Here is a 25141-nt window from a genome sequence, read left to right as displayed (position 1 = left end):
GTGAAATGTTAGCAAACAAGTGTTAGCTACCCTGATTTCCGGTTTCAGAGTTCTGTGGTCCCAGTTTATGCCACATGCAGTGACGTTGTATGGTAGGCTGTGGTGTGGCACCACTTCAGAACTCAGCGCATGCACAGCTTGCAGAAGAGAAGGCCAGAGGAGACCTAAGAAGGCTCTTCGAACACTTGAAAGACCGGCATGTAGGCCGGGCGCAGTGACTCACGCCTGTAATCCCAGCAGTTTTGGAGGTCGAGGCGGGTGGATCACCTGAGTTTGGGAGTTTGATACCAGCCTGACCAACAAGGTGAAACCCCGTCTCTACTAAAAAATACAAACATTAGCTGGGCATGGTGGCGGGTGCCTGTAATCCCAGCTACTCCGGTGGTTGAGGCAGAATTGCTTGAACCCGGGAGGCAGAGGTTGCAGTGAGCTGAGATTGCATCACTGCACTCCAGCCTGAGACAAGAGCGAAACTCCATCTCAAACAAAACAAACAACCAACCAAACAAAACCAAAAAAAAAACTGGCATGTAGAAGAAAAATACTTTTTCTCTACACTTCTCCAAAGAATTTAACTAGGCCCAGGGGAGGTGCAGTATAAATTTCTAACAATCTCAACTGTCTGCCAAATGGAATGAGCTACTTCATATGGCAGTAGTGAGTCCTCTGTCTTTGGAGGCATTCAAATAAAAGCCAGATGGCCATTTATCAACAATCCATGTAAAACGTTAGATGAAATAAAACCTATATATCCAAGATCTCTTCCAATTCAGATTTTATGAAAGAATTTCTAAGGTCTTTGTAATGAGACATTTAGGCTGTTTCAAGAGATCAAGCCAAAATCAGTATGTGGGTTCATCTGCAATAAAAATGTTTGTTTTGCTTTTACAGTTTCCTCATTTGGCTGTTGGATTTTAAGCAAAAGCATCCAAGAAAAACAAGGCCTGTTCAAAAACAAGACAACTTCCTCTCACTGTTGCCTGCATTTGTACGTGAGAAACGCTCATGACAGCAAAGTCTCCTTATGTATAATGAAACAAGGTCAGAGACAGATTTGATATTAAAAAATTAAAGACTAAAAACTTAGTTTAAGAGTCAATTTAATAAGTTTAAAATAAATGTTTAGTTTCATTAGGATGATGCTATCAATATTTTCTTGGTTACAGACACATTATTAAAGTTTTGGGTTAATTTTATTGACAATTCTTAAGATTCTTTCTCATGCTTAATAAAGCATGCTACTCAGTTAACTCTTGTCTACATCAGCAAAGCAGATAATACAAAACAGGAAAATTACAAATCACTGATACTTAGTCCTTGTGGGAATCATGCTTTTCTCCCAGCAGTTTTACAAGGTGGCTGGCATTCCCTGAGCATATTCTGAATTGCACTGTGGGGAAAGAGGTTGTGCTCAGTTGTAGGGTGGGGGGATGCACTGCCTGAGGATTAAAAAACTAGTTCTGTGACCGTGAGGAAGTCGTTTAAATTTCCATGGTCTGTTCCCTCCTATGTGAAAAGAGAAGGTGGGCTTCAACCTCTAAGATCTTCTCCAGTTTTCACATTTTATGGACTTTTGTAGAAAAAACATCAGGAGTTCATGTGGGATGACAGCAAGTCATTTCTTTGAGGAGAGTCTTGATCACCAGGCAATATTCACAGTGTAGAGACTGTCAGATGACCATGGCTAGCATGGAAATGAGACCCACACATTTAAATCACCCAGCAAATATTCCGAAGGCTAATTGTAGCACATTTTATGAAAGACATTTCAAACTGTGGTCCTGAAGAGTGTATCCCATCTTGCAGAGGTGGGGAGCCTGGGGGGACAAGAGTTCTGAAGAGGAAGAGACAACAAGAGTTCCCAGTAGCTAATGTTTGTCATTCTAGTTGACCGTGCTGGTCTATTAGGCTAGTGGTTCAGTACACAGATGAAATGCAACATGGAACCCAGTTTATTATCAGAACAACTACAAAGAAATTGTCCCCTGTCTAAGACTGGAGTGTCAAGTCTCTGCCCTTTTTTCCTTTCCTTCAATGGTGGATGTGGAGTGACTGTGCATCCCACCAGAACCACGTGTCATGGCTGAGTCACATCTTCCTGCCCTTGGAATGAGAGGCACAGCGGAAGACCTTCCCATGGAAGGGACACAGGGAGCCTGGTGGCTGGACCATGGTGCTTCTCTCTTCCAACACGTCCACTCACCCCTTGGGAGACCCTCAAAAGCCAGTTACATTACATGTTCACAGAATTTTTGGTAAAAGTAAATACCAATTATAGTGAGGAAGAATTTTGACCACGGAATATTTTAAAAACTAAAAAATGTTTATATTTCATTTAACATTTGACACAGAAGAGACCACATTTGAATAAACACATTAAATCTTCAGAGCACTTTCATTGTGGTTTTGGACCTCAGATATGACAAATACTTACATTGACAAATCCATAATTTCTTTTGTAATTTCTTTTTATTTTTACAAATTATACCATGATAAAATTTGACAAAAATTATTCATGTGAAAGTTTCCTCTAACATTTTATAAGTTAATCAAGTGCATACCACAATAGATTTTTGGTTGTTGTTTAGGTGTTCTCGTGATTTTAGTATTACACAACTTTAAGCTGAGACTACACTCAGAAATAAGTTTAGAAAATGGCATTACAAAAGGTTGGGAGTGAGCAGTAAAAAAACAAACAAACCCATGCAGGGCTGTTGTGCTGTGGGAAATCAGATGTGTTCACTGCCATAAGTCTTCAGTGCGGCCAAACTTAAAAACCAGCCCTCTGTGAATAAAACAAGAAATATCACATGACTCCCTGAATTTGAGAAAAGAGTATGTGAGATTTCGAGAATGGTGTGAAACAAACAACGAAGAATAATTGATGAGTTGTAGAAGAAATTTTGGTACGAAATGTATCAAAACAGAAACTGATCATTCTAAGGTAGTGAATTCTTCCATTATGTTCAACTGTGCTATTAACCACCATATTCCCAACAACCTTAACTTTCAAGTACTGAATACACATGTGACTTTTAAAAAGTTACCAGTGTTTACTATGTAACCATTATATGTCTGATTTTTTTTTTTTTTTTTGAGACAGAGTCTTGCTCTGTCGCCCAGGCTGGAGTGCAGTGGCGTGATCTCGGCTCACTGCAAGCTCTGCCTCCCGGGTTCATGCCATTCTCCTGCCTCTGCCTCCTGAGTAGCTGGGACTACAGGCACCCGCCACCATACCCGGCTAATTTTTTGTATTTTTAGTAGAGATGGGGTTTCACCATGGTAGCCAAGATGGTCTCGATCTCCTGACCTCGTGATCCGCCTACCTCGGCCTCCCAAAGTGCTGGGATTACAGGCGTGAGCCACTGTGCCCAGCCCTATACGTCTGATTTTATCAAATTCATTCAACAAACTGTTTTGGTGCCAGGGCTATAAATAAGATACAAAGCCACTGCCCTCAAATTGCTCTCATTCTTGCTAACGTGATGTGGTAAGTGTGGGGGTGGTTGGGGAAGGAGACTTATATAACAAGTATTAAGGGGGCACAGAAACACAGAATTCGGTCACCCTGAATAAGTTAGAAAAGGATTTACAGAGGTGGTAATATGTGAGATGGGCTTTTGTGGAAAAACAGGGGTTTGAATGGGAGATTGGTAGGAACAAGACCTAGCGGGATGATGAAGGCAGGTGTTTCGGGGACAGGAAACAGTACATCAAAGGGGAAAGAGGCATAAAAAAGCATGGGGCTTCTGGAAAAGCCCAGGAGACTAGTATGACAGGAATTTGCCCTCACAGAGCTTACAGTCCAGGGCAAGCTTGTCCAACCCACAAAGCATGGGCCACATGTGGCCCAGGACAGCTTTGAATGAGGCCCAACACAAATTCGTAAACTTTCTTAAAACATTATGAGATTTATTTTGTGATTTTTTTTTTTTTTAAAGCTCATCAGCTATTGTTGGTGTATTCTATGAGTGCCTCAAGACAATTCTTCCAATATGGCCCAGGGAAGCCAAAAAATTGGACACCCCTGGTCTAGGGTTTCGGTGAGGGAACGTCTACAGTTGTCCTTAAGGCTTCAATTTAAAAGAGGCAAGAGCGCAACTGTATGCATAAAATGATACCTGAGGTGTTAACAGAACAAGGAAGAATCCACCATGGCCAGATTATGGTTGGCCATGAGGAGGCAGGGAATGGACACAGCCAGGCTTTGGAAAGCCAATTGCCAAGGGTGGCAAATTACCCACAGGTGCCTTAGATGAGCCAGAGTGCAGACGCCTGCCTGCATGCTCTATGGGGCTGCCTGCCTGCATGCTCTATGGGGATGCCTGCCTGCATGCTCTATGGGGCAGCTGGTGCGCAGTCCCAGGCACCAAATGAAATGGGGGCTATGAGCCAGACACAGTGGCTCATGCCTGTAATCCCAGCACTTTGGGAGGCCAAGGCGGGCAGATCGCTTGAGCCCAGGAGTTTGAGACCAGCCTGGGCAACATGGCAAAACCCCGTCTCTACAAAAAATACAAAAATTAGTCAGGCATGGTGGCATGCGCCTGTAATCCCAGATCTCTGCTCTTCTAGTTAATATAGGATCTACTGCTGTAACAAAGAAAAACTGAAGTTGGTTATTAGAGGCCTCTACTGTCCAAATAGCTTAAAAGAGATGCTGTAACTTCAGAATACTCGTCACAAGATATGAACTCTAATCGGAAGAGTTTCCTGGGCAAGAGCCAGGGACCAGTCCCTCCTACACTGTCAAAATTACCTGGGGTTCAATCTGCTTACAGGATACAAGGTATAACCCAAAGAGGCTGTGCATCTTGTCACATCTAAGTTTACATTTTTATTTCCAAACTGATTTTACAAAATGGCAAAAATGCCTGGTGATGGAATAGAATAGGTGTGAATACCAACTGGTGGCTCTTTCTGAAGGGCAACTATTACTATTTCAAGAGGGCTTCAGTAAACATGGGATTTTTGTTTCTTTTTTGGAGGTGGGTGGGAAGGGAAGGGGAAGGAAAGGTCCTGTAATATACATCAGATTCCTAGCCTTTTTTGGATTAGGGGCTTCTTTGAAAATCTGATGAAAGCCACAGACTATCTCTTTCCAGAAATACACAAAACACCAATTTCCTGCATATGGAAATGTCTGGTGATACCTCACCTTCAGAAGACTACTGAAAGAATAAAGGTTAAGAACTCTTGGCCAGGCACGGTGGCTCATGCCCGTAATCCCAGCACTTTGGGAGGCCGAGGCGGGTGGGTCACGAGGTCAGGAGATCAAGACCATCCTGGCTAACATGGTGAAACCCTGTCTCTACTAAAAATACAAAAAATTAGCTGGGCGTGCTGGCAGGTGCCTGTAATCCCAGCTACTCGGGAGGCTGAGGCAGGAGAATCACTTGAACCTGGGAGGCAGAGTTTGCAGGGAGCCAAGATCACGCCACTGCATTCCAGCCTGGGCGACAGAGTGAGACTCCCTCTAAAAAAAAAAAAAAAAGAACTCCTGATGCAGGCTGGGTGTGGTGGCTCATGCCTGTAATCCCAGCACTTTGGGAGGCTGAGGCAGGCAGATCACGAGATCAGGAATCAAGACCATCCTGGACAACATGGTGAAACCCCGTCTCTACTAAAAATACAAAAAAAATAGCCAGGCGTGGTGGCGTGTGCCTGTAGTCCCAGCTACACGGGAGGCTGAGGCAGGAGAATCACTTGAACCCGGGAGGCGGAGGTTGCAGTGAGCTGAGATCGTGCCACTGCACTCCAGCCTGGGTGAGAGACTGAGACTCTGTCTCAAAACAACACACACACACACACACACACACACACACACACACACACTGGGTGAGAGACTGAGACTCTGTCTCAAAACAACACACACACACACAACACACACACACACACACACACACACACACACACTCCTGATGCAGAGGATTAAGAGCTGTTGAGCTGTTTTGTTTGTGGGGTTTTTCGGCCAGTGATGGGGGTAGGTTGTGGGGGCTGGTTGGAGGAACAGCATGGGTAGAGAAAAGGGCAGGCCCTAAATTTCTAGGAAAGATGAACATCAGAGAAGATTACTGATAAAAGCCTTGAGGTTTTTAGAGGTTTTCGTCATCTTTTCATTTGTAATTGAAAGGGAAGGATAAAAAAATGTTTGGGCTTTTCCTCCACACCTCAAATCTCACTCACAAACTCTACGATATCAAGGACAGAAGAATTATAAAATATATCAGAAACCAAAATTTAAGGATAAATGGTTTTAGGCAGGCTTTCACTTAAAGCAACTGTTAGAGATCTAAGTTTAAAATGAACATCACCAGTGTTATGTAACTAAATTTTCATGAATCATAGTTACTCACTCATTAAAAGGGGGCGTGGTAGCAATCTTAAAAATTAATATATGCTCCTAAGGTTGGCAGCAAACCAACTCATCTATTTAAAATATCCTTCTCAACCTTACTCTCCATGTTTTATGAAAATATCATGGGGGAGGGGCATTGGATGAGTAATTAGGCAACTAAATATAGAAAATGATATAAAAGAAGCTATTTTAAAAAAAAACAAACAAACATAAAGAATGCAAAACAAACTTACCCAAAAAAGATGAAGGCATTCTGGAAAAATACAGCAATTCCAGGGTATACTATGTCTTTTTCTGTAAAAATAATTGCAGTGTTTAGAGGGTTATGATCTCAAAACATTTAGTTTCAGATATATTGGCAAATACCAGTTTTCCTGCCTAGAAGAATTGATTTTTCTTAGAATTAGGGTTGGCTTGAGTATTAAAAGACATAATGTGTAACAGAGTCTAGCATGGCTTTAGTAAATGATAGCTCCCTTAGTTCACTTAACAAATATTTACTGGGGGCATACTGTATGCTGGCCCTATTTAATACTGAGGATACTGCAATAAACAAAACAGGTAAAATTTTTTTTGCCCTCATGGAACTAGAGAATATACTGAATAAAAAGAAGATAAAATAATGCAGGAAAGGTGGAGAAGTGTAGTGTGACATTGGACACAGATGGCCAGGAAGACCCCATGAGAAGGTGACACTGGAGTAAGGACACGCAGGAAGTGGGGAAGAAGCCATGCACACGCCCTGAGGGAGCACGCCAGTGAATTACAGGAACAGCCACGTAGGCACAAGAGGGAAGAGCAGGGACAGGGTAAAGAAAGAGGGCAACTGGGCAGCAGAGACCTGGCAGTCACAGTGAGGACTCTGATTTTTACTCTGAGTGAGACGAGAAGCCACTGGGTTGTGAGCAGAAAAGTGATCTGAGATGACATATTTTAAGAGGATCCCTCTGGCTGCTGTGCTGAGGGTAGATTAAAGGAGGCAAGAGAGGAAACAGAAACCAGTTAGGAGGCTCTTCCAGGAAATCAGGTGAGAGATTATGATGGATTGAACCAGGGTGGTAGCAATGGAGAGATGGTAAATGGTGGTTAGACTCAGGATATATTTTACAGCACAGTCAACATGATCTGCAGATAGATTGGATATGGGGCGTGGGAGGAAGACAAATGTCATCTTTGACAGGCCTTCACCATCTAGGGCTTTTGGCCTAAACACCTGGAAAGATAGAGTAGCCAGCCATTAACTAAGATTGGAAGGACTGCTGGAGCAACATTTTTTTCTGATTGTATCTAGAAGTGAAGTTGAAATTCTCATAAATTTCTACTACTGGAATTGTTAATGACTGCTCATTGACAGAGGCACAATAAATAGGTGAACTGTCAAATTTTTCTCATTTCAGAACAGCTTTGGTTAATCTGATTAACATAACAGATGGTTTGCATAGGTCTTCACCACTATTTCACGTTAAATAACCATTACCACTAGAATGGCTTCTAAAAATGTTATAAAGCCAACTTTATAAAATTACAGATCTGCTGCTAATAATTCTCAAAACATAACCTTGCTCCAGAAGCTTTCAGGAAAATAGCCTAAAATTATGAGATAAAGACATTCCTATAAAAAGGGACCCTGTATTAATAGTTGTATCTGGGAAAGAATTATCAGTAATTTCATTTTCTTCTTTTGAGTTCTTTTATATTCTTAGTTTTCTATAATGAATAAGCATTATGCAATTCCCATGATAACAAGGTAATTTTTTTCCTTTTTTTTTGTTTTGATTTTTGAGAGGGTCTCCCACTGTTACCCAGGCTGCAGTGCAGTGGCGTGATCGCAGCTCACTGCAACCTCCACCTCCCAGGTTCAAGAGATCTCGTGCCTCAGCCTCCCAAGTAGCTGGGATTGGAGGTGTGTGCCACCATGCCTGGCTAATTTTTGTATTTCTAGTAGAGATGGGGTTTTGCCATGTTAGCCAGACTGGTCTCAAACTCAAAATATATACATTTTAAAATATATAGATGGCTGGGCGTGGTGGCTCACTCCTGTAATCCCAGCACTTTGGGAAGCCAAGGCAGGTGGATCACCTGAAGTCAGGAGTTCAAGACCAGCCTGGCCAACATGGCAGAACCCTGTCTCTACTAAAAATACAAAAATTAGCTGGACATGGCGGCAGGCGCCTGTAATCCCAGCTACTTGGGAGGCTGAGGCAGAAGAATTGCTTGAACCTGGGAGACGGAGGTTGCAGTGAGCTGAGATCGCATCACTGCACTCCAGCCTGGGCAACAAATATACATATAAAAAACAGATTTTATAGCAGCAAAAGAACAACTAACTTATAATATCATGTGAAATGCAAACGGGGGATAAAAATTATGATAATAACTAAAAACATAAGAAAAAAGGAAATAAACCAAAATATTGAAGAGTGGTGAAATTATTATTACTTCTTTTTCTTTTTTTCTTTTCTTTTCTCTTTTTTTGAGACAGCGTCTCACTTTGTCACCCAGGCTGGAGTACAGTGGCACAATCACAGCTCACTGCAATCTCTGCCTCCCGGGCTCAGGTGATCCTCTCACGTCAGTCTCCCGAGTAGCTGGGACCACACATGCACGTCACCATAGTCGGCTAAATATTTATTATTTGTAGAGATGGTGTCTCCCTATGTTGTCCAAGCTGGTCTCAAAATCCTGGCCTCATGCAGTACTCCCTCCTTGGCCTCCTGAAGTGCTGGGATTACACTGCACCCACCCTTTTTTATTTTCTACAATTTTGGTAACATGATTTTAATAATAAATTACACATGGCTAGGCCTAGTGGTTCACACCTGTAATCCCAGCACTTTGGGAAGCTGAGGCAGGCAGATCACTTGAGCCCAGGAGTTTGAGACCAGCCTGGGCAACATGGTGAAGCCCCATCTCTACAAAAAATACAAAACTAGCAGGGCGTGGTGGCATGCGCCCGTCATCTCAGCTACTCAGGAGGCTGAGTGGGAGGATTGCTTGAGCCTGGGAGGTGGAGGTTGCAGTAAGCTGAGATTGTGCCACTGCATTCCAGCCTGGGTGACAGAGCAGACCCTGTCTCAAAAAATAAAAAAAATAATTAAAATAAAATTAAAAATACAAATATTTGGAAATATCTATTACTCCCATCTATGAGATTAAATGATTTTAATAAAAATTTAGGAAACATTATTTTAATCTACAAGTTACATTTTATTCAAATAAGTGTTAAAATATGAGCAGAATATATATAACCTGGTCCAGTTTTTATAAATCATTAATACTGTATTTTTACTATGACACCCATAGCAATTTTACCTGGACCATTAAATGGGTTTTCTGTTTTTCTAGGGTCCCTCAAGGTGAAATTTCTCCCAGGGTCTAACAGTATACCTTTTCCTGAGCTTGCCTTAAAGTGGCCTTATATAGCAGATGTATATTAAATGTTAGTTTACTTTTCTGTCTGAAAGGAGGTGACATCATATTACCAGGGAGGCTTAACTGAATAAATCTCAATTCTGGGATGTTAGAGCTTTGCACAGATATTCTGAAAGTCAGAACTTGTTAGGCCAGGCTTGAGGCCAGGAGTTCAAGGCCAGCCTTAGCAACATAGCAAGATCCATCTCTATAAAAAATTTAAAAATTAGCTGGGTGTGGTTGTGTGTGCTTGTGGCCCTAGCTACCTGGGAAGCTGAGGTGTGAGGATGGCTTGAGCCCAGGAGGTTGAGGCTGCAGTGGGCCATGATCATGCCATTGCACTCCAGCCTGGGTGATAGTGAGACTCTTGTCTCTAAAAAAGAAACAAAGCTTGCTAACTAGCTAGATAACATATGTTCTGCTTTTGAGATTTTTGGAAGCCAAAGAAAAGCAGTGTTTAGAGCTGTCTCATCCCTTCCAGGCTCTGGATAAGAAGAAAAATGACTGAAGAAAGGAATACTAAAAATATATAAGACAAAGAAAACCAAACACTGTCGGTGGAGGGTGGGGGGTCCCGGATATAAATGCATCGCTAGTAGTTGGCCCAACTATAGGAAAAAAATTTTATTCTAAAATAACCAACTTTAATGCAAAATTCCAGTATTCCACTGAAGTAAATTGTAACCTATGTTTTCTCTTACCTTTAGCAACATAACCTCCAAAAAGAATCCACATAGATGCAATCAGAGATCCAAAGGCCAACATGAAACCAACGAAAAGCCAAATGCGAGCACCTTCAAAGAAATAATATTTTACCAGAATTCTTTCTTATAGGGCAGTACAATTAACTTTCAAAAAGAAAATAAAACCCAAACAGAAAAAAAAAAAGTGCAACTGCCATTAAAGTCTAACGTGAGAACAGTAAAGGATGTGTTAAACATCTTCATCAGTGTACCTGTTGGCCTTTTTCTTCTTGGTTGGTCTGTATAGATTTTTAAAAATTATTTATGAGTCTGTATAAGTGCATATACTTACTTTCCCCAACTGCCTACACTGAGAAAACCTATACTCAACCTTCCTATAAAACATCTCATAAAATCTGTTTCACCATATTTAGAGGCTCATTCTCCTTATGCTTTTATATAGACAATGATCCCACATTTTTTTTTTTTTTTTTTTTGAGGCAGAGTCTTGCTCTGTCTCCTAGGCTGGAGTGCAGTGGCGCAATCTCGGCTCACTGCAAGCTCCACCCGCCCAGGTTCATGCCATTCCCCTGCCTCAGCCTCCAGAGTAGCTGGGACTACAGGCACCCGCCACCACGCCCAGCTGATTTTTTGTATTTTTAGTAGAGACGGGGTTTCACTGTGTTAGCCAGGATGATCTCGATCTCCTGACCTTGTGATCTGCCTGCCTTGGCCTCTCAAAGTGCTGGGATTACAGCCGTGAGCCACTGTGCCCGGCCGCTCCCAGATCTTCCAAGAGTACTTTCAAACAGTAACACAGACATACAGTAAAAAATTCATATTCAGTGACATACGAATCTCCAAGCTACCATATTTCACTTTCAGGGAAGTTAGGCAGCAAAATAAATTCAAATTTACTGTGACTAGAACTTAGGAAGGTTGCATTAAAATTATGTTAACAGAGGAGGACAGGCAACTTTCAAATCACATTAACATGTTTATGAAGATTTGCTATAAATAAATGGAGTCATGACTGCCTAAAATGAATTCTGATAGGGCCTCTTTAATTTGCATAAATACATTTTAATAAAAACACTGCCTACACTCAATAAAGCACGGCAAATAGAATGTTATATATTAATTCCCAATTTCAAGCCCAAAACATAAAACAATAGATTCAAAATAATAAGCTGTTACTCACAGATATATTAAAACAAATAGAAAAGTGGTATTTCCATGTGAAATACTCATCTTAAGGATTTAAGCATGTATAATAAGATGCTGTTTGCACCTATTTACCTGTTTGACCCAGACAACCTTCACTGTAACTATCACCTCGGACTTGTCCATTCGATACTGCATTAATCCTGTATGAATAAAATAAAACCAAGAAATCAGGGTCCATGACACCAATTACCAGAAACAATAATCTACAGTTTCTCAAATGTAAGGTTAGGCCTGAAAGTCTTTTTTTTTTTTTTAAAGATACAGGGTCTCACTCTGTTGCTCAAGCTAGAATGCAGTGGCACAACCATGGCTTACTGCAGCCTTGAAATCCCAGGCTCAAGTGATCCTCCCACTTCAGCCTCCTGAGTAGCTGGGATTACAGGTGTGCACCACCACACCCAGCTAATTTTTAAAAATTTTTGTAGAGACAAAGTCTTGCTATGTTGCTCAGGCTGGTCTCAAACTCCTGGCCTCAAGAGATCCTCCTTGCCTTGACCTCCCAAAGTGCCACTACACCTGGCTCATAAGCCTTCAGTTCTTGAGTAAAGAGTTCATATGACTGGTCTCTTCAACCAGATACTCCTTTTTTTTTTTTTTTTTTGAGACGGAGTCTCGCTCTGTCTCCCAGGCTATAGTGTAGTGGCACGATCTCGGCTCACTGCAACCTCTGCCTCCCAGGTTTTACGCCATTCTCCTGCCTCAGCCTCCCGAGTAGTTGGGACTACAGGCATGCACCACCTATGCCCGGCTAATTTTTTTTGTATTTTTAGTAGAGATGGGGTTTCACCGTGTTAGCCAGGATGGTCTCGAACTCCTGACCTTGTGATCCGCCCGCCTCGGCCTCCCAAAGTGCTGGGATTACAGGTGTGAGCCACTGCGCCCAGCCAGATACTCTCTAGAGCAGTGGTCATGGGCCCCAGGCTAGCGGAATCAGCATTACTTGGCAACCTATTTGACAAGAAAATTCTCTTGGCCCTAACCCAAACCTAGCAAAGCAGACACTCTGGGCATGGGGCCCAGAAATCTGAGTTTTAACAAGTCTTTCAGGTGAGTCTCGATTGTTAAAATTTGGGAACGAGGCTGGGCGTGGTGGTTCATGCCTATAATCCCAGCACTTTGGGAGGCCAAGGTGGGCGGATCACCTGAGGTGAGGAGTTCAAGACCAGCCTGACCAACACAGAGAAACCCCGTCTCTACTAAAAATACAAAATTAGCTGGGCATGGTGGCACATGCCTGTAATCCTAGCTACTTGGGAGGCTGAGGCAGGAGAATTGCTTGAACCCGGGAAACAGGTTGTGGTGAGCTCAGATCGTGCCACTGCGATTCAGCCTGGGCGACAAGAGTGAAACTCCGTCTCTTAAAAAAAAAATCGGGAACAAAATTCTCAAAATTTTCTTTTGCTAAGATTGGAACAGGTAAAAAGATAATTTTGCTTGGTTCTATCTGATATTCCATTTGTATGTATCAGACATAACATGTACTCATGTATGGCAATGGCAGAGGGAGAAAATGGGCCCTGGATAATCCAAATATTTCTTAAAATTGGCTTTGGAATAAATTTTTTTGTAGTAATTTTGTACTGATATCAAATGTTTGGAGAAATAATTATATTTCAAACAATACAATAACTTTTTGCTCTGAAGATATTATCGAATAGAGATTCAAGTGGTAAAATCTTGTTTTTTAAATCCTTGATACAGGCTCTAAACATAAGGTGTTTTACTAACTCTTCATAGCATACCACTCTAAATTGAGATAGGCTTGCTTTCTTTAGAAGTATCCTTTGAAACATTCCAAATGTCATGGGAAAACGTTCACAATACATCAAGTTAAAGTTACAAAACATTATACCTATGATATATATACCCATTTAGTTGTGTGTGTCTAACACTAGAATATAAGCTTCATGAGGACAGGAGCCATTGTCTGTCTTGTTTCTCATTTTCATTCTCAATGCCTAGCACAAGGCTAGGGGCTTCGCACATAGTAGGTGCTCAATAAATGTGTTTAGGTCAGGCCTGGTAGCTTGTGCCAGTAATCTCAGCACTTTGGAAGGCCAAGGTAGGAGGATTGCTTAAGCCCGGGACTTTGAGACCAGCCTGGGCAACATAGTAAGACCTTGTATCTATGAAAAAAAAAAGTGAATATAGGAATCCTAGTTTTTTTCACAGTAATATGATGTCTTAATTTATTCATACAAATCTAAGTTTCAGAATGATCAAAATACTCAATTATTTTCAGTGATCTCTGTACAGTACTAAATTATTTTGTATATAAAATAGATACATTAAAAACAGGTTTCATATATAAAAGTAAAACACAAATAAATGTTCTTGGGTTACTGGTTCTCAGCTCGTTTTCCTTGCTGAGCCATCTGAATAAACTTCAGAGCCCTCTGTGAGCCACCACAATCCTGTCTTCACTATTAGGGACACTTTGGAATGAACAATCTCTATTTGTTCTCTGCTATGATTATTTTTATGTATGTTCTCCAATTTATAGAAAAGTTACTAGTTAAATAATCTTTTTACTGAAACGTCTGGTATTTGTCAACATGATGCTCCATAACTGGGGGCTATAGGTGTGCTCCTGGTGTTGGGGTGTAGCTGTTCTGGGCACTCTTAGCGGACAGAGCTGCCACACTGCTTCTCCTGCCCCATCTGGACAGCCTCTTCACCCTGCTCAGACTCCAGCATCCCATGTAGGGCTGCCTTCTTCCATCCCACGCTCCGCTGCATGGATCCCCTCCTCACCCTGCTCAGGATCTGAGCCCATGCTGAGCTGCCCCTTCCCACCCTGCCTGAGCCCAGCAGCCTGCTCTGGGCCACCACAACTTGTCTTTCTATAGAGGATGCCTCTCATGCTTGACCTCACCTAATAGTTTTTGGACTGAATTTTTCCAGGAAGAGGAAAGGAAGTGGAGAAGAGTTAAATATTACTTTTAAAACATATAGATGTGTGTTAGAGAAAGAGAAAACAGAAGAGAACACTGGTAGAATATCTGTCAAAATGTTATAGTTTGGTGAGATTATAGGCAACTTCGTTTTTGCTTATTGGCATATCCTACTTTTTTTTTTTTTTGAGATGGAGTCTTGCTCTATCGCCAGGCTGGAGTGCAGTGGCACAATCTCAGCTCACTGCAACCTCCACCTCCCGGGTTCAAGCGATTCCCCTGCCTCAGCCTCCTGAGTAGCTAGGACCACAGGCGCGTGTCACCACACCCAGCTAATTTTTTGTATTTTAGTAGAGACGGGGCTTCATCATGTTGGCCAGGATGGTCTCGATCTCCTGACCTCGAGATCCTTCCACCTCGGCCTCCCAAAGTGCTGGGATTACAGGCGTGAGCCACCGTGCCCGGCCTACCCTACATTTTTAAAATTAAAAAATACAGAGTAATACACAGAACATTTATTAATATTTTTAAAGCCACAAAATCAGAGAACTTTTGTAATAAGAGAAAAAATAATAAAGTCATTAATGAAAGAATAGCTGCTTTTTGACTCCTATCCATTTGAATTATAATTAACTAACAGTTTTTGTTTAAAATTATGGCCTGACACTATCTGACACTATAATAAAAAGATGTAAACTGAAGCCAAATAGATGATAAACATTTATAAAGACATGAAGTCAGCTCTGCTATAATTATGTTAATGCAACAGAATGTAAGTTTAGCAGGAAACACGTTTGAATAGTACATTCAAGCTCATATACAGCTATAATTCCCCTCCATAGTCAGACTTGCTACTGCTTCAAAATGGAACAAAATAATTTTTTAAAGATCTGAGAACAAAAGCAGGACAAAAATACAATCACAAAAATAAAACTTTTAAATCTAAACCAATGTTGAAATTTAGGTGTCAGCTTTCTAAAAGAATTCTAACAGCATCATTATTACGGTAAAATAAATTGCAACAAGATGGAAAGAACTAGAAATAGCTGCATACTGGCTGAACTTCAAAGAAAAAGACCACAGCCCTTTGCTATCAGTGGCTTCTGAAGTCAGACCTTTACTTCTGCGAATGAATAACTACTCTGGCACTGACTCCATGCCAGGCACAGTCAAACTGGCTGCCCTTAGCCACTTGCTTTACTCTGAAAATACAAGTTACTGTGTTTACACTTAAGTAACTGTAGCAAAATTTAAAAATGTGTGTAATTTTCAACTTGGATTACCTGGAAGCCTGTATGAGATGACTCTACAACCTAAATTAAAAGTCTACAGAAGGCCGGGCATGGTGGCTCACGCTTGTCATCCCAGCACTTTGGGAGGCCAAGGCAGGTGGATCACCTGAGAGGTCAGGAGTTCGAGACCAGCCTGGCCAACATGGTGAAACCCTTCCTCTACTAAAAATACAAAAATTAGCTGGGCACAGTGGTGGGCGTCTGTAATCCCAGTTACTCAGGAGGCTGAGGCAGGAAAATTGCTTGAATTCAGGAGGCAGAGGTTGCAGTGAACCGAGATCATGCCACTGCACTCCAGCCTGGGCAACAGAGCAAGAGCCTATCTCAAAAGAAAAAAAAAAAGGTCTACAGAAAGCTGATGGACAATGGTAGAGGTCAGGATGGGGGCTATACAGGTGTGATGGAAGTGCTGATTGAGAATGTTCTGGGGTGATGTTTTAAATCTTGATCTAGATGCTGTTTACATGGGTGTATATATAAGAAAAATTTGTTGAGATGTATATATGACTTGTGCACTTTATGTATCTCACTAAATGCGTTTTTTGTTTGTTTGTTTGTTTTGAGACAGAGTCTCACTCTGTCTCCTGGGCTGGAATCCAGTGCCGTGATCTTGGCTCACTGTAATCTCTGCCTCTCAGATTCAAGTGATTCCCCACCTCAGCCTCCTCAGTAGCTGGGACCACAGGCATGCACCACCATGCCCGGCTGATTTTTGTATTTTTTTGTAGAGACAGGGTTTCACCATGTTGGCCAGGCTGGTCTTGAACTCCTGACCTCAAGTGATCCGCCCACTTTGGCCTCCCAAAGTGCTGGGATTACAAGTGTGAGCCACCATGCCTGGCCAGAATGCATTTTATATTACATTTTTAAAATAATAAAGGCAGAGAGCACAGTGACTCACACCTATCATGCAGCACTCTCGGAGGCCAAGGCAGGAGAATCACTTGAGACCAGGAGTTCAAGAACAGCCTGGGCAACATAGTGAGATCCTGTCTTTACAAAAAAACTGTTTAAAAAATAGCTGGGTGTGGTGGTATGTGCAAGTAGTCCTAGCTACTGGGGAGGCTGAGGCCAGAGGACTGCTTAAGCCCAGGATTTTGAGACAGTAGTGTGTTATGATCACACCATTTGCACTCCAGCCTGGGTGACAAGCGAGGCCCTACTTCTAAAACATTTTTTTTTTAATTTAAAAGGAAAACCTGATTCTTTTGTAGTTCTTAGGCACGATGATTGGGTGTTCATGTGCATGTTTGAGATGTGCCTCCCTCAAACCTTGTTCTTACATCAGCACCTTACACGTCTAACATGAAAAGAAAAGAAAAGAAAAAAAAGAAAGGCCCACAGAGAGAGTTGATCCCTAAAGGAAGCATTCATAATTAAGGAAACAAAGGCCCTTAGAAATTAAAACATGAGAACTGAAATGCAAAAATGTTTAACAGATTGGAACATAAAATAAAAAGATAAAGAGATGAGAATTCTAAGAAAACATATCGGCCGGGTGTGGTGGCTCACGCCTGTAATCCCAGCACTTTGGGAGGCCGAGACAGGTGGATCACTTGAGGTCAGGAGTTCAAGACCAGCCTGGCCAACATGGTGAAACCCGTCTCTACAGAAAATACAAACACCAGCCAGGCATGGTGGTGTGTGCCTGTAATCCCAGCTACTTGGGGAGGCTGATGCAGGAGAATCAATTGAGCCTGGGAGGTGGAGGTTGCAGTGAGCAGAGATCATGCCATTGCACTCCAGCCTGGGCGACAGAGCAAAACTCCATCTCAAAAAAAAAAATAAATAAATAAACAAACTAAAATAAATACTTTTTTCTTTTAAATTTATTGAGACGGAGTCTCCCTCTGTCGCCCAGGCTGGAGTGCAGTGGTGTGATCTCGGCTCACAGCAACCTCTGCTGCCCAGGTTCAAGTGATTCTTGTGCCTCAGGCTCCCGAGTAGCTGGGACTACAGGCACGCAACACCGTGCCTGGCTAATTTATTTTTTAGTTTTTGAGACAGAGTCTCACTCTGTCGCCCAGGCTGGAGTGTAGTGGCATGATCTCTGCTCACTGCAACCTCCGCCTCCTGGGTTCAAGCGATTCTCCTGCCTCAGCCTCCCGAGTAGCTGGGACCACAGTCACGTGCCACTATAGCCGGCTAATGTTTTGTATTTTTAGTAGAGACAGGGTTTCACTGTGTTAGCCAGGATGGTCTCGATCTCCTGACTTCGTGATCTGCCTGCCTCGGCCTCCCAAAGTGCTGGGATTACAGGCGTGAGCCATTGCGCCCAGCCTTTTTAAATTATTTTTAGTAGAGATGGGGTTTCACCACGTTGGCCAGGCTGGTCTCAAATTCCTCACCTCAGGTGGTCTGCCCGCCTTGGCCTCCCAAAGTGTTGGGATTACAGGCGTGAGCCACCATGCCCGGCCAAAGTAAATACTTCTTGTATCCAAAAAAAAAAAAAAAAAAAAGAAGATGTGGTAACTGGAAAAACAGTGGATTCAACCCTGATCAACAGGGGAGGGAAGTCCCATGGTGACAGTGCTGCAGCAGGCTTACACAGTCATTAATTCATAATGAAACAGACAGATACGGGCTTCTGGGATGTTGATTTCTAAAACAAAAGAAGTTATAATACATTAAAGAATATAATTGAGAATTTGGGAAAAAAATAAAGATGTGATAATAGTAGAAAATGCAAGAAAACAAAGAAAAGGCAGCTAGAAACTCTAGGAAAAACAAAAAACTGAACAAGGCTACTACATTCCACATAGTAACTGTCCAAATTAGAACTGCAGCATTCAAGAAGAATAAAATGAATCCTAAAGAAAATATACATTCTTTCTACCAACAACCACCAAAAAAAAACAAAAAACAAAAAACAAAAAAAAACAATCAGAAACTCTAGGAAAGGTCGGGCACAGTGGCTCACACCTATAATCCTAGCACTTTGAGAGGCCAAGGCAGGTGGATCGCTTGAGCCCAGGAGTTCAAGACCAGCCTGGCAAACAAGGTGAGACCTCGTCTTAATTAAAGAAGAAAAAAAAAACTATAGGAAAAAACAATACTAAATAACAAAGTCACAGCCCAAGTATGAAGCAAACTAAACGATTTTATGAATTTGAGAAACTGGTAAGAATACAAGAATATTTTCAAAATACATTGATAAATTTGAGAAGCACAGAGTCATGGTGCTTATACTATTTGGCACTGCAATAAATTTTGTTTACCGGTTTTAAAAATTTTTCAACAGGAATGCTCCTATTAAAATATAAGGTCATTTCATTCCTCTGCTCGAAACCTTCCAATGGCTTCCATTACACTTACAATGAAAGTAAAGTTCTTATTTTTGTGATGGGGTCTTGCTCTGTTACCCAGACTGAAGTGCAGTGGCACAATCATGACTCACTGTAACATCGACTTGACTTCCCAGGCTCTGGCAATCCTCCCGCCTCAGCCTCCGGAGCAGCTGGGACCACAGGCATGCCCTACCAATTTTTGTATTTTGGTAGAGATGAGGTTTCACCATGTTGCCCAGGCTGGTCTCAAATTCCTGAGCTCAAGTGATCCACCCACCTCGGTATCCCAAAGTGCTGGAATTACAGGCATGAGTCACTGCATCCAGCTGAAAGTAAAGTTCTTATAATGCTTCTCAAGGCCCTATACCATCTGTCCCTCTCCACCACTTCTTTGACCTCATCAATTTCTCTTTCCCTTGATCTTGCTACTGCAGTTATACTGGTCTCCTTGCCGTAAAGCCTTTGTACTTGCTGTTTCACCTGCCTGGAATGAACCTCTCTTATATATCCCCATCCCCTGGTCAGCTCCTTCACTTTCTTCAAGTCTTTACTCAAAGTCACCTTCTTAGTGAGACCTTCTCTGACTCTGCTGAAAATTTCTGGCCACGTGTGGTGGCTCACACCTGTAATCCTGGCACTTTGGGAGGTCGAGGTGGGAGGATCACTTGAGCCCAGGAGACCAACCTGAGCAACATAATGAGACACCCTCTCTATAAAAAAAAAAATTTTTTAATTTCTATCCCTCCTATTGACATCCCTTTCTCCTTTGCACTTATTTGCACATATCTCCTTTCTCTATTTTTTCTCCTTTGCACTTATTTTAAATGACAAAAAGACATGGATTTTTCCTGTTTTACTAACTACTATATGTCCTGTACCTAGAGCAGAGTCTGGAATATAAAAGCTTAATAAATATTGTTGAAAGAATTATCCCTTAGACAAAATACACAGTTTCGGACTTAAATATAAAGCTATAAACCCTGGGGGTATAAAATAAAAGAATAGCTGAGAGAAGCTGGGAGGGAGTGGAGAGGTACACAAAAAGAATAAAGAGGACTGCTGCTTTTCTGTATAAGTCCATCTCTACTGTGTGACTTTTAAATCATGTCCAGTGTGTTAATCTGATAATATTTAGAATTTTAAATCTATGCAACTATATTTGAAACATTTTTATTTTGTGGCAAGCTATGTAAGTAATGCCAATTACGATGACACTTACATTAGGAAGGCTATGGTTGCTATAACACCACAGGCATGGTATGAGTGGTTGAAATCTTTCATGGTGGGATAAATAACAGCTGCATCTATGATAATCCACCAGCCTGTAAAAAACTAAAACAAAGGTGATACCAATGAGAAATCATAGCAATTCTGTATCTCACTGGCTAAAAGCAAGGTATTTAAGTGAGGAGATCCCTTTTAATACATTTCAAAAATGTTCTAGCTTTTTCCCACATGTAATTTGCACATGGCCTAATAACTGATTAGGTACCCTTAAATCTGAGAGCAATTTATATTTATTAACATAACTTTTCTCTAAGCCTACTTCAATCATTATTTAATTTTTATCATAATAAAGCCTTGTAATCTAATTTGGTGAACTAGAAACCAGTTATCTCATGGAGGGGGAAAGGAAAAAAGTGACTCCAATTCCAACTGACAGAAGTGTCCTGTTGATATATGATAAACTTCCAGAGAAATATTCCCCAAAATCAAGAAAAAAGCATTCAAATTAATATGGAGAACAACTATTGTTCACAGAATTTTAGCTATCTTCTTGGTGTGAAATAACAGCTCTGAGGTTCTGCTTTTGATGAATTCCAGTGCAGTCTAAATATGGTTTCAGGTGTGATTTTAAATTTAATTTAAACACCAGATTACAATTTATCTAATTGAATTTGGCTCTAGATATTATCAAGGGCAAAGGTATAACAAAATAACGCCAAAACTTCAAAAACAGTTTTTATCATCTGAGCAGATATTTACAATAAAATTATATTAACCAAATTCTGACAAGTAGCCTAGAAGATTTTAAAAGTAACCCCCTTTCCTTTCCTATCCCCACACCAAACCCTGACTCAGTTAGCTCTGGCAACTGACATCTTCTGGCAATTATTTTAAAGTAACAATTTTAGGCTAGTCAAATTACTTTTATCAGGTTACAGACAGATCCATACTCGATTAATAACATTTTTAATGGCTAGCATGAGTACATATGCCTTTCTTTTTACCCTCAGCTCAATGTATTTAAGATATTTTCTTCATAGACTAAAAACTCAAAGCTTTTTGGCCAGGTGCAATAGCCTGTAATCTCAGGACCTTGGGAGGCCAAGGCCAGTGAATCACTTGAGCCCAGGAGTAGGAGACCAGCCTGGGCAACATGGAGAGACCTCATCTCTACAAAAAAAACAAACAAAAAAAAAAACAAAAATTAGCCCGGTGTGGTGGCCTTCATCCGTGGTCCAGGCTACTCCGGAGGCTGAGGTGGGAGGATCACCTGAGCCCGGGAGGTCGAGGTTGCAATGAGCAGTGATTTCACCACTGTACTCCAGCCTGGGAGACAGAGTGAGACCCTGTCTCGAAAATAAATAAATCTTAAAGCTTAAGAAAAAATGGCTTGGTGCGGTGGCTCATGCCTGTAATCCCAACACTTTGGGAGGCCGAGGCAGACAGATCATCTGAGGTCGGGAGTTCAAGACCAGCTTGACCAACATGGAGAAACCCCGTCTCTACTAAAACAAGAGCAAGGCCAGGCGCGGTGGCTCACACCTGTAATTCCAGCACTTTGCAAGGCCGAGGCAGGCGGATCACGAGGTCAGGAGATCGAGACCACGGCGAAACCCCGTCTCTACTAAAATACAAAAAAATTAGCCGGGCGCAGTGGCGGGCGCCTGTAGTCCCAGCTACTCGGGAGGCTGAAGCAGGAGAATGGCGTGAACCCCGGGAAGCGGAGCTTGCAGTGAGCTGAGATTGCGCCACTGCACGCCAGCCTGGGCGACAGACTGAGACTCCGTCTCAAAAAAAACCAAAAAAAACAAAAACAACAACAACAAAAAAACAAGAGCAAAACTCTATCTCAAAAAATAAAAATAAAAAATTACTCTTTAGAGCCTACGACACCATATGATCATAAAAAACTAATAGCAGATCCCTTGAGGGATCTGAAGTGTAAATAAGAATTTTATTCTGTAAATTACTTCCACACAATGTATTTTAATGAGTTTCCTTTTTGTTTTTGCTTTTTAAAAAAAAATTTTAAGGGGCCATGCTAATCTTCTCTGTATTATTCCAATCTTAGTGTATGTGTTGCCAAAGCGAGCACTTTTTTTTCCCTGAGACTGAGAAGAAAGTTAACTGGATTATGGAGAAATGCAATCACATCTATTGACTGGTTTTGACCTGACTGCGTCTTAAACACTTCCTTGTACCTTAATATACTCATTAAAAGGAGATATAATCCATATAATGAACAAATGTTTTATTATGCCATTTTTACCATGCAGTTAAAACAACCCAACCACTTGTTAATCAAATTTTAAACCATAAACTCTTAAAGTGGAACTAATAACTCTCCACAAACAACAAAATATCAACATGGTCAAAGTGGTCAAAGATAAAATAAATAGTACATATTTTAAAACATCCTGCAGAATTCAAAACCCATAAACACAAACGCACCAAAAAATAAGGCCCAAATAATCAATGACACTTACTAGTACACCAGCAGCAATGGAAGCAATAGTATTGCGCTTTTCCCCCCAGTCAATGCATTCTGAGCATCTCAAGCCCTCTAGAAATCCAGACATTTTTTTCAGGTCACTTAAAAACAAACAAACAAACAATTAAATAAGTACTTCCATTTACTTGCTTCAAGCCCGAAAAATAATTAATAGCTCAGGAATAATTAGATAAAAGTGAAATTACAAATGCTTTATTTTGGTTCCACATACTTCTTCAGAATATTTGATTTAGTTTTTGATGAATTTCCACATTATAACTTTGGAAAGTAATATCTGGATTCATTTAGTATCTTTTTTAATGTAAAAAATGGTTTGGGGGCCGGGCGTGGTGGTTCATGCCCGTAATCCTACCAATTTGGGAGGCTGAGGTGGGTGGGTCACCTGAGGTCAGGAGTTTGAGACCAGCCTGGCCAACATGGCAAACCCCATCTCTACTAAAAATACAAAAATTAGCCGGGGGTGGTGGCGCATGTCTGTAATCGCAGCTACTTGGGAGGCTGAGGCAGGAGAATCGCTTGAACCTGGGAGTCGAAAGTTGCAGTGAGCCGAGATCGTGCCACTGCACTCCAGCCTGGGCGACAGAGCAAGACTCTGTCTCAAAAATAATAATAAATAAATAGAAATAAATGGTTTGGATATATTTAAGCAGTATTAACAAAGGTGGGTCTCCAAATATTGAAAAAATTTTAACTACTGGTTGACCTCCTCCTGAAAATCTGTCACATCCTATTATTTCTAAGTAGGTATTAAATTAGTTTAGGTGGTACTTTTAATACCAAGTATATGATTACTAATCCACAGGAGCTCTTTTGTATCATTTTGATTCCAAACTTATTAAATGAATTTGATATTTACAGTCCAGGAGCACTAACATTAGTAGAGAGACAAGTGATAAACTTTGGCTCTGAGTGGAATTACAGATTCAAATGAAAAATATTTCTCTAATTTACATATTTTATCACAGAACGTGTGTTTCTTCACACCTAAATCAAGAAATTAAACACTGCACTGCAGTTCTTACCTCTACCCACATCATTTCCTTTCACTTCATTCATTATTTTTCTTTCTGCAAGCCTGCCTTTTGGTGTCATTTCTATATAAAGAACATCCACTTTAATATCCCTATCTCTGATCCTAACGGGTGTTTCCAGCCAAAAGCAAGCACAGAATCGTGGTTAATAGTAATTCAGATTACAAAAATCCAACTGCTATTTAAATATAGCCGACCCAAGCTGTCTTTACAAATTATATAAAACATTCCTGTAAGCCGAGCAGTAGAGACCTGAGATACAGCCATGTTATCTCTATTTCAGAGTATGAAAAAGCCTGAAATACATATAACTTGCGAATAACAACACCCAAACTCCTACAGCGAACTTGACTTCCTTAAGATACTTTGTAGCCAGCAATTATGGTTGTCCAAAAATATGACACCCTACAATAGAGCAACGTCTCCCATTTTTAACTTCTCTTTTAAAAATTAAATATTAAAATATATGATTACAGCCAATGCTAAGATGCCTTTGGGACAAGTTCAATTTAGGAAATTCACTCATTTGATTCTTCCCCGGGAAGAACTGCAATTCAATAAGTGTTATTTTCGGTTCATCCCAATGGCCCCACCCCGAATCCATTTTTCTTTGCACGACGACTGGTACGCTCAAGCCAGACCCCGCCCTCCAAACTCTGGGACTTTTAGGTCTCGAGGGACGCCGCTGGAAGATGGGGGAGCCACCTTTAGCCGGGGCACCCCTCGCTGAGGGAGCTGGCCGGGTCACGCTCCTTTCTCGGGGCTTCGGCTTGTCCAGCTGTGAAGTGGGGGATCGGGGGATTTTCCAGGGATCCTGGGGTGTCCCGGGGGAGGGCGCGGTCCCCTCTCCGTCTTGGCGGGGTCTGGACGCCGTCGCCTTCTCCTGGCGCCGCCGGACCCAGGAGAGGAGAGGTCCGCGGCGGCTCAGCCCGGGTCTGCGGCTTCCGGGAGGGTGGCGGCAACGAGCCTGTGCTGTGGGCACCAGCCCGTCAGACGGCCCCGGCTCCGAGGCCTCTCCAGCCTGCGGCCGCTACTCTCTTACCCCCACTCCCCGCCCGACACTTACGTCCAGCCCCGTCGTGCAGTGGTTCCGGAGCCCGGTGTCGCGCCGCGCCGGCCCGCCTCACTCCCCCGATTTTAGCCAAGAAAACAAAACGGCCACAGCCTCCAGACACCCGGATGCAGCAGTACCATCCACCCGGCTCAGTCGCGCATGCGG

The 25141-nt window shown here is 41.8% G+C and overlaps 2 protein-coding genes, 1 non-coding gene and 1 pseudogene across 15 annotated transcripts in view, besides 2 other annotated features; 2 read left to right on the top strand and 2 right to left on the bottom strand.

Annotated features, from left to right (window-relative positions):
* The window catches only part of RHCE (Rh blood group CcEe antigens), a 67955-nt gene extending 66759 nt beyond the window's left edge, over positions 1–1196 (top strand). For all 10 annotated transcript variants that reach the window (XM_011541889.4, XM_047427028.1, NM_138616.5 and 7 more), the window contains 1 exon segment: positions 892–1196. In XM_011541889.4, the coding sequence (XP_011540191.2) occupies positions 892–918 (27 nt within the window). In that variant the 3' untranslated portion in view covers positions 919–1196.
* Positions 1084–25111, bottom strand: TMEM50A (transmembrane protein 50A). Of its 4 annotated transcripts, none has more exons than XM_011541159.3 (7): positions 24628–25111; positions 22866–22971; positions 20372–20484; positions 11752–11819; positions 10471–10563; positions 6592–6652; positions 1084–2785 (listed from the first exon to the last, which is right to left on the bottom strand). In XM_011541159.3, exons 2-7 carry the CDS (start codon positions 22956–22958, stop codon positions 2740–2742), a joined length of 474 nt encoding a protein of 157 aa, XP_011539461.1. In that variant the 5' UTR covers positions 22959–22971; positions 24628–25111; the 3' UTR covers positions 1084–2739. The 4 variants fall into 4 exon arrangements, with proteins under 4 accessions (XP_011539461.1, NP_055128.1, XP_047272588.1 ...); NM_014313.4 differs by having other exon boundaries at positions 24989–25111; XM_047416632.1 differs by lacking the exon at positions 10471–10563.
* LOC124904823 (small nucleolar RNA U13) lies at positions 17068–17171 on the top strand. Its single transcript, XR_007067419.1, has one exon. It is a non-coding gene; the product is annotated as a small nucleolar RNA U13 (small nucleolar RNA).
* Positions 19361–19561: a silencer, noted in NCBI's record as "peak126 fragment used in MPRA reporter construct". NCBI's record gives its function as "represses an SCP1 promoter by STARR-seq MPRAs in K562 erythroleukemia cells {active_cell/tissue: K562}" and the evidence as "EXISTENCE:reporter gene assay evidence [ECO:0000049][PMID:32103011]".
* LOC124904723 (uncharacterized) lies at positions 22411–22474 on the bottom strand (annotated as a pseudogene).
* Positions 25091–25141: part of a meiotic recombination region, noted in NCBI's record as "downstream Rhesus box that can recombine with the homologous upstream Rhesus box", that runs on past the window's edge. NCBI's record gives the evidence for it as "EXISTENCE:nucleotide sequencing assay evidence [ECO:0000219][PMID:10845894, PMID:15752150]".

This window comes from Homo sapiens, chromosome 1 (assembly GCF_000001405.40).
Source record: "Homo sapiens chromosome 1, GRCh38.p14 Primary Assembly".
In the NCBI taxonomy this organism is placed as follows: Eukaryota; Metazoa; Chordata; class Mammalia; order Primates; family Hominidae; genus Homo; species Homo sapiens.
This window is presented reverse-complemented; position numbering and strand designations above follow the sequence as displayed.